Consider the following 12,828-nt stretch of genomic DNA (forward strand, 5'->3'; position numbering starts at 1 on the left):
TGACAGAATTATCATTCATACTCTGGGTCACGCAATATACCCATGTAACAAATGTGCACGTGAACCCCCTAAATCTATAATAAAAGTTAAAATTATTTTTTAAAAAAGTCTCATCTCTGCCATTTACTAGCTGTGTGACCTTGGGCAAATTACCGTTCTGTGCTTAGGTTTTTAAAGTCAGGACAGTAGAAATGACACTAGTATCTAATTCATAGGGGTTTTGTATTACATTTATATAAAGCTTTGAACAGTGCTTACCCTAAAATAAGTGCTAAGGAAGTATTAGCCCCAATGAAAACTTCCAAAAGAGTAGAGGGAAAATCGTAATCCAAAAGAGGTCAAGAAAAGGTAAAAAATATAGAAATATGGGTCAAATAGCATAAAATAAGAGGGCAAAAATGCATACGTGCACTTTTTCAGCTAAAAAAGTCTGTCAGACTGGACTGATGCGGAAAAAAAGCTCCATATATTATGTTGTTCCCAAGAGACATACTTAAACATGAAGCAGGTAGAAAAAGATACACTAGTCAGAGTCAATGGCTGGGAAACCTTTCGCTACCTTACCTGTCTTCCTTCAGTTTCTCTCCAGCCTCTTCCAGGCTTCCTATCCCACCACCCCCACGTCGCTCCTCAGCCCCTCTCCTCTCTAGTGGGAGACAAGGAAACTCAGCATTCATCCAGCGTTCCTTCGCCTCAGCAAGGGGCTCCCGTCGGCGGCGGCCGTGATGACGTCCTCATTGGTCCGCCCAACCACGATTGGTGAAGGGGTTCCTGCGTCGCGCGCAGTCTAGGAAAGAGACGACTTGGGACGCAACGACACCTGCGCGTGTGCGTATTGCCTCAGTGGAGGCGCTCCGCTGGTCCTCCTAGAGTTTGGTGCCCTGCCGCCGCTGCCCCGCCACGACTGCGGCTGCGGCTGCTCCGGGCAGTGCTGCGGCCGCCGCGGGCCCAGCTGTATGGTTAGGCCACCATCGTTCGTGAGTAAACATATTCCTTTCTGTGGTGTTCTTGATAATGCATTTATAGAGTTTCTAAAGGGCCCTGGAGATTACTGCCAGGTTCAGCACGAACTTTATGAGGACAAGTGAATGGTGGAAAGTCATTACTGCCCCACCAAGAAGCCCCCACAGAGCGGGTCACCTGGACACAGAAGTGTAGAATTGAGATCATTAGAGCATTTTACAAGAGTTCTGACCTAGATGGGGTAACCCTTGGTGCACTTCCTTTCCATTGGCCCAGAATTACTGAATTGAAGAACCGCAGCTTCTTGTTGGTAGGTTCATTTCATTTCCTGTCACTACCAACTTCATATTCAAAGCTCTGTGAATTTCAAGTGGAGTATATTGGCGTAGACTTCAGTTTCTTGACATCATTTCTGTATTCAAAAATTTTTAATTTTTTTCGTAACCATATCAGTTTTTTTTTTTTTTAACTAAATTAACATGGCTCCAATGAATCACCCAGCTCCAGTGGAAGTCACATACGGGAACATGAGATTTCTTATTATACACAACCCAACCAATTCGACCTTAAACAGATTTTTAGAAGAACTTAAGAAATACGGGGTTACCACAATAGTAAGAGTATGTGAAGCAACTGATGACCCTGCTCTTGTGGAGAAAGAAGGCCAATCCAGTTTCTGGATTGGGCTTTTGATGATGGTTCATCACCATCCAACCAGATTGTTGATCACTGCTTAAGTCTTCTAGACGTTAAGTTTCGTGAAGAACCTGGTTGTTGTATTGCCTTCACTGTGTTGCAGGTCTTGGGAGGACTCCAGTGCTTGTTGCCCTAGCATTAATTGAAAGTGGAATGAAAAACGAAGATGCAGTACGGTTTATTAGAGATAAACGGCACGGCGCTTTTAACAGCAAGCAACTTTTGTATTTGGAGAAATATCATTCTCAAATGCGGCTTCGCTTTGTGTCCGGAATTGGTGGGTTCTTGGTCTCACTGACTTCAAGAATGAAGCTGCGGACCCTCGCGGTGAGTGTTAACAGTTCTTAAAGGCGGCGTGTCCGGAGTTTGTTCCTTCTGATGTTCGGATGTGTTCGGAGTTTCTTCCTTCTGGTGGGTTCGTGGTCTCGCTGGCTCAGGAGTGAAGCTGCAGACCTTCGTGGTGAGTGTTACAGCTCTTAAGGCGGTGCGTCTGGAGTTGTTCGTTCCTCCTGGTGGGTTCGTGGTCTTGCTGGCTTCAGGAGTGAAGCTGCAGATCTTTGTGGTGAGTGTTACAGCTCGTAAAGGTAGTGTGGTCCCAAAGAGTGAGCAGCAGCAAGATTTATTGCAAAGAGCAAAAGAACAAAGCTTCCACAGCGTGGAAGGGGACCCTAGCTGGTTGCCACCGCTGGCTGGGGCAGCCTGCTTTTATTCTCTTATCTGGCCCCATCCACACCCTGCTGATTGGTCCATTTTACAGAGAGCTGATTGGTCCGTTTTGACAGGGTGCTGATTGGTGCATTTACAATCCCTGAGCTAGACACAAAAGTTCTCCATGTCCCCACTAGATTAGCTAAATACAGAGTGTAGATTGGTGCATTCACAAACCCTGAGCTAGACACAGGGTGCTGATTGGTGTGTTTACAAACCTTGAGCTAGATACAGACTGCCGATTGGTGTATTTACAATCTCTTAGCTAGACATAAAGGTTCTCCAGGTCCCCACCAGAGTAGCTGGATACAGTGTCAACTGGTGCATTCACAAACCCTGAGCTAGACATAGGGTGCTGATTGGTGTGTTTACAAACCTTGAGCTAGACATAAAGGTTCTCCAAGTCCCCACCAGAGTCAGGAGCCCAGCTGGCTTCACCCAGTGGATCCCGCACCGGGGCCGCAGGTGGAGCTGGCTGCCAGTCCCGCGCCGTTCGCCTGCACTCCTCAGCCCTTGGGTGGTCGATGGGACTGAGCGCCATGGAGCAGGGGGCAGCGCTTATCGGGGAGGCTCGGGCCGCACAGGAGCCCACGGAGGTGGGGAGGCTCAGGCATGGCAGGCTGCAGGTCCCGAGCCCTGCCCCGCGGGGAGGCAGCTAAGGCCTGGCGAGAAATCGAGCACAGCGCTGGTGGGCTGGCACTGCTGGGGGACCCAGTACACCCTCCGTGGCTGCTGGCCCGGGTGCTAAGCCCCTCATTGCCTGGGGCCGGCAGGGCTGGCCGGCTGCTCTGAGTGCGTGGCCCGCCAAGCCCATGCCCACCCGGAACTCCAGCTGGCCCACAAGCGCCGGGCGCAGCCCCGGTTCCCGCTTGCGCCTCTCCCTCCACACCTCTCTGCAAGCTGAGGGAGCCAGCTCTGGCCTTGGCCAGCCTAGAAAGGGGCTCCCACAGTGCAGTGGCGGGCTGAAGGGCTCCTCAAGCGTGGCCAGGGTGGGCACCAAGGCCGAGGAGGCGCTGAGAGTGAGCAGGGGCTGTGAGGGCTGCCAGCACGCTGTCACCTCTCAGCTTCAAAGACTCCAGTGGTCACAGAAACAACTGTTGTATTCAATAAACCTGGCTGCCTGATGCTATTGCCTTGAAAGTGGGACTTGAGAAAAGACCTAATTTATTGTACATTTTAGCCAACATATGGGCTTAGTGAATAAGTCTGATGAAGCTTCCATAGGGATATCAAAAAGCCACGAATTTAACAGAAATGCAACTTCTATGTTTGGCTTAGTGCTATTCCTATGCCAGAAAAAATACATAAGAAATCTAGAGATTAGATGCCAAGATCCCCAGCACAAAATTTGTATATTTTTAGTATCATACAGAATTAAAACTCCAGGAACTATAACTTTATGTAGCTCATCCCTTAAGTCATATCAAACACTGCAAGTAGGGCCTATATGATTATTTGCCTGCTTCATGTTTACCATCCTACACGGGTCCCAGTATACATCAGGTTTGTCCAACAGGTGATTTTGTTGGATTCTTTACACATCTTGTGGTTATTTGATGTCTTTGTCTAATCTCATTTTGTTATGAAAACCTCCATTTTGAAAAATCGACATCTGATTGAAAGTTCATGCAAAATCCATGTTGTACAGAAGCACATGTGTTGAATGTCTTCAAATAAAAAGGCCTTACCGTTAATGTTTACGGTTGGGGTGTAACTTAACACAGAGGGCCCTGAAGACAGAATGAGAGGAGACTATGAAATATTTCTAGTAAAATGTTGTTTTGATCTTGTGCAGAACATATGGTCTAGGACTTTTAATTTAGTAAGTGTTTGTTAAAAGGTAAAGATGCATTGGTCCAAGGTAAATAGAGCAAATATGGACAGAATTACAAGGAAAATTGGCAAGTTTACCGTAGCAGTGGGAAGTTTTATTGTTCCTCTTTCAGAAGCAGATCAAGTAGACAAAAATCAAGATTTTGCATATAGATTTACACAAAACAGTCAACAAACTTGATCCCATGAACATACAAAGGGCATTGCATCCAACAATGGGAGAATACATATTTATAAGAGTACATGAACTATTAAATTTGACCATATATTTGATTATAAACCCATTTCAGCAAATTTTAAGCTATTTGAATAATACAGAACACCTTCTCTCACCACAATTCAATTAAATTAGGAGAAAAGCTAATATCCACACATCTGTAATTTTGAAAATCTCTCTAGAGACTTCCACTTCTAAATAGGATATAGTAGGTCATGGCAGCCTAAAACTTTGCCTGCAACAACTAGAAAAAGATGGAAAAATTATAAAGATCATATTTAAAGATATGTGAGAGCTATGAAAGCAATAAGGACTAGGTGAATGGGAATTCCAGAGAGGGAGGAGTCCTCCTGAGGTAAGTGGCCATTTTATTTTCTAGGGACATTTACTGATTCTGGACATGGACTAATAAGGATCAAGCTTGGTCTGTGAAGAGGGTCTCTCCTGAGGGAAAGGGAAACCCAGAAAAGCTTTTGGTGGTCACGTGGGGCTGGTGCAACAAATTGGAAAATTAAGAACTTTGGCCAGTTTCTTCTACGTGTTATAAGTTGGGTTCCTCAGGAAATAGACACTGAATCTGAGATTCGCATCCAGAGGATTACTGGGGTGTCTTCTCAGAGAACATCTATGGGGGAGCAAGAGAAACAGGATAGGGCATAAGAAGTTGAATGGTGATACATAGCAGTTGCAACAGTAGCCTCAGCCAGTCTCATAGGGAGCTCTGAGGATGGGATGGCTATTTAGAGATGTTCTCAATTGAGGCTAGGAATCTGGCCTTTGGGCCCTTGAATCAACCAGTCATTGCCTGTAGGCTTCCCTTGGGGATGATGGCATAATCTTGGGTGAAGCATTCACCTTCAGTCGAGGGCAATTCCTAGAGAGCGATGCAGCTGGTGGCCCTCAGCTGACAATGGCATCTGGAGGAATGAGTGTTTCAGACCCAAGGCAGGATCTAGGTGGTGCAACCACAGCATCCACTCTCTTAAATGACACTTGCTGAATACTGGGGCTATGTATGGGAGGCTGGGGAGTTAGAGTGAAGACTTACAAGGCAAGGGAACTCTCCCTTAATCTAATAGTGCTTAGGAGACAAAGTTCTCCACATTCTTACCAACAGATCTTTTTTTTTTATTATAGCCATTCTGGTGAGTGTTGTTATGCCATTGTGGTTTTAATTTTCTTATTACTAATAATGTTAAACATTTTTCATGTGCTTGTTAGCCATTCACCTATCTTTTTGGATAAAATGCTGATTTAAATATTTTTCTCATTTTAAAATTTGAATTGTCATCTTCTTATTAAGTTGAAGTAGTTCTTTATATATTCCGGATCCAGTGTCTTCGTCAGATATATGATTTGCAATTATTTTCTCCCAGTCTGCTGCTTGTCTTTTTCCCTCCCAAAAAAAAGTGTTTCAAAGTGCAAAATTTTAAATTTTGATGAAGTACAATTTATTTCTTTTATGAATCATGCTTTTAAAGTTGTATCTCAGAACTCTCCTCAACCTAAGTCATAAAGATATTCTGCTATATTTTATCTTAGAAATTTTACAGTTTTAGCTCTCACATTTAGGTCTGTGATCCATTTCAGGTTGATTTTTGTTTGGTTTGAGATGTGTAAAGGTTAATTTTTGTGTTTAGTGTGAGGTGTCTAAGTTAACTTTTTTTTGCATGTGGATATTCAATTGTTTCAGCACAATTTGTTCAAAAGACTCTCTTTCCCCCAATGAATTACCTTAGTAATTTTGATTAAATTAGTAAATTTGATTAAAATTGATGATCAATTTGCCATAAAGGTAAAAACTTATTTGTGAACTCTCAGTTCTGCTTCATTTATTTATATGACCACACAGTCCTTTTTTGGTATAAATTTAAGGTGTACAAGTGCAGTTTTGTTACATGGATATGTTGCATAGTGGTGAAGTATGGACTTTTAGTGTAATCATTACCAAAATACTGCACATTATACCCATTAAGTAAATTCTTATCCCTCACTCTTCTTCCACTCTCCCACCCTTCCAGGTCTCCAGTGAGATTCCACATTCTTTGTTCATGTGTACACATTATTTAGTTCCCACTTATGAGAACATATGGCATTTCACTTTCTGAATTATTTCACTTAAGGGCCTCCAGTTCTATTTATGTTGCTGCAAAACACATGATTTTATTCCTTTTATGGCTGAATAGTATTCCATTGCACATATATATTCATTTTCTTATCCATTTTCTTTATCCAGCCATCGACTGATGGAAACTTAGATTAATTTCATGTCTTTGCTATTGGACCACACAGCCTTGATCATTGTATATTTATAGTAGGTTCTTGACATTGAATAGGGCACTTTGTTCTTCTTTATAATTTTTTTGACTCTTTGAGATCCTTTACATTACCATAAACATTTTAGAATCAGCCTGTAAGTTTCCACCAAAAAACCCTACAATGGTTTTGATAGGTATAGTGTTCACTTTATAGATTTGAATATAATTGCAATTTTGACAATATTGAGTCTTCAAATCCATGAACAAAGAATCTCTCTCAATTTATTTAGATCTTTAATTTCTATCAGCAATGTTTTGTAGTTTTTGGTATACTATACTTGCACTTCTAAAATTTATTTCTAAGTATCTTTTCTTTTTGATGCAGTTGTAAATGAAATTGTTTTCTTAATTTTATTTTTAGATCATTTGCTGCCAGCATATAGAAATAATGTTGACCTTGTATTTGGTGACCTTTCAAAACTAATTTATTAGTTCCAGTAGACAGAGAGAGAGAGAGAGGAGAGAGAGAATGAATGAATGAATGAATGTGTATGTGTTCTTTAGTGTTTTTTACATGCAGGATTAGGTCATCTGTGAATCAAGGCAGTATTACTCTTTCTTTCCAATCTTGACACCTTTAGCTTCTCTTTCTTGCTTCATTGCACTGGCTAAACACCCTCCGTGTTGACTAGAAGTGGTAAAAACAACGTCCTTGCCTTGTTCCAGATCTTAGGGAGAAAGTATTCATTCTTTTACCATTAAATATGATGTTATCTTTGGCTCTTTATAGATGTCCTTCGTTAGGTTGAAGATGTTCTTTTCTATTTCTACTTTGTTTAGGGTTTTTTCATAAATGGGCGTTGGTTTTTTTCAAATGCTTTCTTCGTATCTATTGGCATGATCATATGATTTTTTTGTCTTTCATTCTATTAATGTAATTGAACAACCATATTGAACAATTTTTGAATGTTAAAAAACTACGTTTCTGAGGATAAAGCCCACTTGTTTGTTGTATGTAATTTTTAAATTTCATGTTGCTGAATTTGGTTTGCTAATATTTTGTTTAGGATTTTTTCATCTATATTCATGAAGGATATTGGCCTGTACTTTTCTTGTGATATGTTTATCTGGCTTTGATATGGCAATACTAGTATCATAGAATGATTTGGGAAGTGTTCCCTCCCCTATTTTCTGAAAGAGTTTCTGCATAATTGGTGTTATTACTTAAGTATTTGATAAATTCCAACCAATGAAGCCACCTGGACCTGGTTTTTCTTGGGGGAAAGATTTTTTAATTACTAATTTCTTTACTTATTATAGGTATATTGATTTGTGCTCTAATCTTTGCTTGCTTTGAATTTTGTTTGCTTTCCCCCACCCCCATTTTCTTAAGGAGGAAGTTTAAATTATTGACTTGAGACTTTTTTTCTTTCCTTTCTCTCTTTCTTTCTCTTCTGATATAGGAATTTGCATTAGTCAGGGTACTCCAGAGAAACAGAACCAATAAGATCTTTCTCTCTCTCTCTCTGTTGATTTATTATAAGGAACTGGCTTGGCTCACATGATTATGGAAGCTGTCAAATTCTAAGATCTACAGGGTGAGTCAGCAAGCTGGAGATCTAGGAGAGATGATGGTATAGTTCCTGTCTAAAGGCAGGAAAAAGCCAATATCCCAGTTAGAAAGGCATCAGGTAGGAGTAAGTCTCTCTTACTCAAGGGAGGGCGAATCCATTTTTTCTATTCAGGCCTTCAACTAATTGGATGAAGGCAATTAGTGGAGGGCAATCTACTTTACTTAGTTTAATGATTTAAATGTTACTCTCATCCAAAGATACCCTCACAGCAACACCCAGAATAACATTTGATCAAATTTCTGGGCACCCTGTGGTGCCGTAAAATTAACCGTGACAACATTTAAAGCTATAAAGTTTCTCTCTAAACACTGCTTTAGCTACATCTTATTAATTTTGATATGATTTTAAAAATTCAGTTCAACATATATAACTTGGCTTGTGATTTCTTCTTTGATCTATGGGTTATTTTGAAATGTACTGTTTTCCAATATTTTGGAATTTCCCATAGTTTTCTGTTTATTGATTTCTAATTTAGTTATTAATTCTGTTACTCTATAGAGCCAATTGCATTTGAATTCCAAGGATGAATGCCGTTTCCAGGCAGAAAGCTAGAGTGAACTAAAATTTAATCAGTAAAGAGAAAAAAAGGGAAGGGAAGGACTTCCCAGAAGGAGAGACCAAGCATGGATAGTATCAGCACAGGCTTGAAAGCACATGTGCTTAGGGCTGGCAAGATGTTCAGTGTGGCTGGAACAAAGGAAGTGTAATTTGTGTCTTCTTTGTTTTTGTCTTGGTTAGTATAGCTAAAGTTTGTTAATTTATTTGATCTTTTCAAAGAACCTATTTTGCTTTCATTTGTTTTCTCTACTATTGTTTTTCTTTTCTACTATATTGATTATAAAGGATATGTAGCAGCGATACAGAGGAAATTGTGGGACATGATGTAAAAAGGTAGTGTCAAAAACTCCATGGTGTTCAGATTCCAGCTTCACTCTTCAAACTCTCTTCTGAATAGTTTTTCATTCTCTATGATCCCAAGGATCATAGAGGAGGGATGTTTTCTCAGGATATTCTTGGCTGAGCACCAGCACCAAGGAAGCAGTTCTTGGAAGAATAAGACCTGAGCAAGAAGTGAGTGGTATCTCTGCTAATTACTCTTCTAGAAGTCTAATAGTCCATCTAGCCTGTCCTTGAGAGTTGGTCATATAGGACCTATTCGTTGCTGGCAGTGGAGATCCTGAGGCTGAGGTAGCAGCAGGAGTAGGACCCTAAGCATGATTTATTGATTCCTTGATTATACAATGAAATTAGAGGCAGGAAGCTGCCATCTCCACATGTCTTAACATCTTAGCAGTATCTAATTTCAGGGGGCTGCAAGCTCTCTCCTGCCCCCACCCCTATGATATGGGCTCTGCTGAACATGAGAGAGATGAAGGCTAGCACTGAACTTGGTCTAAGAAACACCCAGGATGGACTGATATTACTCACTAAGAAAACTGCTTTGTGTTGCTCAACTACTTCAGAGAGTGAAGGATGGAAGCCAGAGTGTGTTCCAGAGCCAGGAAAATGAAATCAAGTCTTCCCTAGATCTCCCTATGGTGCTGTTCCTCTCACTGCCTCTCTTCCTCCTCACTGCTTGGCAGGCTGACCCTCCCCACCCACATTTCTCTGGTTTTCCTTTTAGAAAAAAGAATGTCTAAGACTCAACAACCCACAGGGCAGTGACCTGAATAGTTAGCGAGCTGCCGTTAGCCACTCAGCCTTCACACACTGCCGAGACTTGAAGGGTGTGTATGGCTGACATGGACTAAACTCCCTGATGGGTGGGCTGTGCTTTCTGGCTAGTGGCTGTGCTCACATTCTTCATCTCCCCATGACTCCCACCCATCTTTTCCTCTTGGGACTCAGTGTAAACACTGCTCTCCCTGAAGCCTTCTCTTACATTTCCATAGGAAGTATCCTCTCCCTTTTCTGACTGCCCTCAGTTTTTATCTGTTCTTTCATGAACTTACCACTTTCTCCCTTATGGCAAAATGAATTGTGTCCAATCTCCTCCACTAGATCCCGAGCTCTGTAAAGGCAGGATTCTAGATGAGATTCTGCATTTCCCACAAGGCCTGGCCAGTAGTTGGTGATTAATGGTTGAAGAAATGCTTAGGAAGGAACTCAGAGGAGGGTTCAGAAAAGTGAACTCCCAGGGCCTTCAGAGACAAGGCTTTTATTCACTGTATGCCTTGGCATCTCCTCTCACACCAGAAAGTTTAAAAGAAAAAACACAGCGACAAGGATTCACTTGGGCCATTTTGGAACCCATTTATATTGTGGGTGTTACTCTGGGCTTCATCTAGCCCCATACTAGCCTCTGAGACTGCCTCAGACCGTCTGAACATTCATGGCTTCCTTGGGCCAAGTGTAGCTGTCCAGTGTAAAGGAGTCATAGTCTGGAGTGTAGACCAGGGATCTTACAAAAGCCTCCTTGTCCTTAGGCTCTGGGTAGTAGGAAGCCAGGTTGTGTTTGTACGCGTAGTCGAGAACCTAGAGAAAAACATGTTTGGCTAAGGAACCGGATCTAAGGGGAAACCTGCTTAAGGATCCTTGCTTGGGAGCATGGGGGAGGGGAATACACCTTAAGGAACCAGACTTGTTTCTTTCATGAGTATGGCTCATGAAACAACTGGATAGGAAGGATTTTAAGCTTTCTTTCTGGACAGGCAGCTTTAACATAGTGGAATAAATACTGAGCCAGGGTCAAGAGGCTTCAGCATAAATTCTGCCTGCTTCCAAAGGCCTGTGGGTCCTCAGAGCTGATATTATCCTTGCTGAGCCTCAGTTTCCTCATCTGTAAAATGGGAGTAAAGAGACCTTTCTCTGGAGCAGTGTTAAGATAAAATTAGACAAGAGGCAAATGTGTCCAGAACCTGATTTTTTTTCCACTTGAATATGGGTTAAATTGGATGAACAGCCTGGACACTGTTCTCTGGGTATTAGATTTGGCTTCACGAGAATGTGAATCTAAATATCGCCCAAAGGAAGAAACTGACGGGGTGAAGCTGGACCCTGAGCTGGACTGTTAATCTTGAGGCTTGATTCTGGATTCTGTACCAGACAACTCATGGGTGTGTGTGCTGTTGTACGATGCATTTTCTGAAATTATTTTTAAAACTTATAGAAAATGTAAAACATGCATACTAATAGAAATAATAGTATGATAAACTGTCATGTATCTATTATCCAGCTTTAACAATTATCAATGTTGGGCCAGTCCTTATTGCACCATGTTCTGATTCTTTGAAAACCCATCATCTCTGCACAGTCTTATAGTCTGGAATATTCCATGAAGCTGATCACCCCATAGCCAGCCATTCTGAGAAAAAGGGGAAGAAAGAGATTTACCCTGGCTGAGAGAGCACTGGGTATGGAGCTTTTTCACTGTTCTCTGCCAATCTCCAGAATTCTGAGAGTGAGGAACTACTGGCCCTTTGAAGAAGGAGGAAACTGAGGCTCAGGGAAGTGAAGTGATTGGGCCAATATTATACCATTGCTGATTGGGAGAGCTGGGACCCCAAAGCCTGAGCTTTTTCCGTGATGCTATGCAAGCTGACCTTTCTTATAAATGGGCGCTTATGAGTCATTTCTAAAAAATTCCCATATTCTGGTCCACAGACATTGATGACCTTTCTGCTTGGTGTATTAGGGGAAATCCAGGAGCTTTCCCAGAACTGGCCTGGGTGGGTGTTTGGGGTGGAGCTCAAGCTGCAAACAAGAGTTTGTCACCCAGCCTCTGGGTTACAGGTAGTGCAGCTCAAGGAGATCCAGTGTCTCCACAGTTTCCATCCCCTTAACCCTCCTAAAGTCACAGACAGAGAAAGTGGTTGAGCCTCACTACCCATATTACAGGGGTAGGATGCCCCTTACTTTGATGGCAATTCTCAAAGACACGTCTCGGATGGTGCTGAGTGGTGGGTAGAGTCTCCCCTGGGACAGATGCTGCTCAGAGACTTCCTGGGCAATTTGCTGGGGAGAAGGAGAGAACCGAGAGGAATAAGCTGAGTCTCTGCCTTCCCAAAACAAGCCCAACCCGTTACCCCAGAGACTCACCCCACCCTGCATAGTTGGTCAAACACTGCAGTTCCAACTGTTGACTCTGTTACCAGGGAAGCTTAATGCTTGGGCGTAAGAGAGGACACATCCTTTCTGTACTATAAGACTGGCTGAGGCTTAAAACAACATTAAGTGTCTCTGAATTCCAAAGGAAAATCACTAAAGCCAAGATGAATAAATCTGTGGCCTGCAAAGCAAAGGCTATGAGATCTCCTCTTGGCTGGTCCAGCCTGTTGCATAGGGATCCCTGGGTCCCTCACTTCCTGGGTCCCAGCCTCCTTCCACGTGCTTGGTACCATCTTGAGTGACCATCTAGGCTATGTTATGTCTTTGTGTTCAGTCTCCTGGAGCTCTTCCTTCCAGCCCTGGTCTCAGTCTGAGGAAGGCCTCTCCTCCAGTGAGTGATTGAGTCTTACACCTTATTGGAATAAATGTCCTAAGCACATCATCCTGAGAACAGAGCCTCCCGTAGCTTCCC

At 42.4% G+C, this 12,828-nt stretch overlaps 1 protein-coding gene and 1 pseudogene across 13 annotated transcripts in view, besides 1 other annotated feature; one reads left to right on the forward strand and one right to left on the reverse strand.

Moving 5' to 3' along the window:
* Positions 751-4,221, forward strand: PTP4A1P6 (PTP4A1 pseudogene 6; annotated as a pseudogene).
* ME3 (malic enzyme 3) overlaps positions 4,274-12,828 on the reverse strand; it is a 237,687-nt gene continuing 229,132 nt past the window's right edge. For 10 of the 13 annotated variants that reach the window (NR_147828.2, NR_147830.2, NR_147829.2 and 7 more), the window contains 2 exons: positions 12,165-12,263; positions 10,452-10,784 (listed from right to left, as the gene is read on the reverse strand). Coding sequence is in view for 7 of the 13 variants with exons in the window: in NM_001161586.3 (NP_001155058.1) it covers positions 10,623-10,784; positions 12,165-12,263 (261 nt within the window). In the remaining 6 variants the exon portion in view is untranslated. Of the gene's footprint in view, positions 5,043-10,261; positions 10,785-12,164; positions 12,264-12,828 lie in introns of those variants that run through there. The other 3 variants (NR_172888.1, NR_172889.1, NM_001395868.1) reach the window with 2 other exon arrangements.
* Positions 11,352-12,551: an enhancer, noted in NCBI's record as "P300/CBP strongly-dependent group 1 enhancer chr11:86153050-86154249 (GRCh37/hg19 assembly coordinates)". NCBI's record gives its function as "activates an origin of replication core promoter dependent on BRD2, BRD4, P300/CBP, MED14 and CDK7 cofactors, with strong dependence on P300/CBP, by STARR-seq in HCT116 cells {active_cell/tissue: HCT116}" and the evidence as "EXISTENCE:reporter gene assay evidence [ECO:0000049][PMID:35650434]".

This window comes from Homo sapiens, chromosome 11 (genome assembly GCF_000001405.40).
Source record: "Homo sapiens chromosome 11, GRCh38.p14 Primary Assembly".
NCBI lineage: Eukaryota > Metazoa > Chordata > Mammalia > Primates > Hominidae > Homo > Homo sapiens.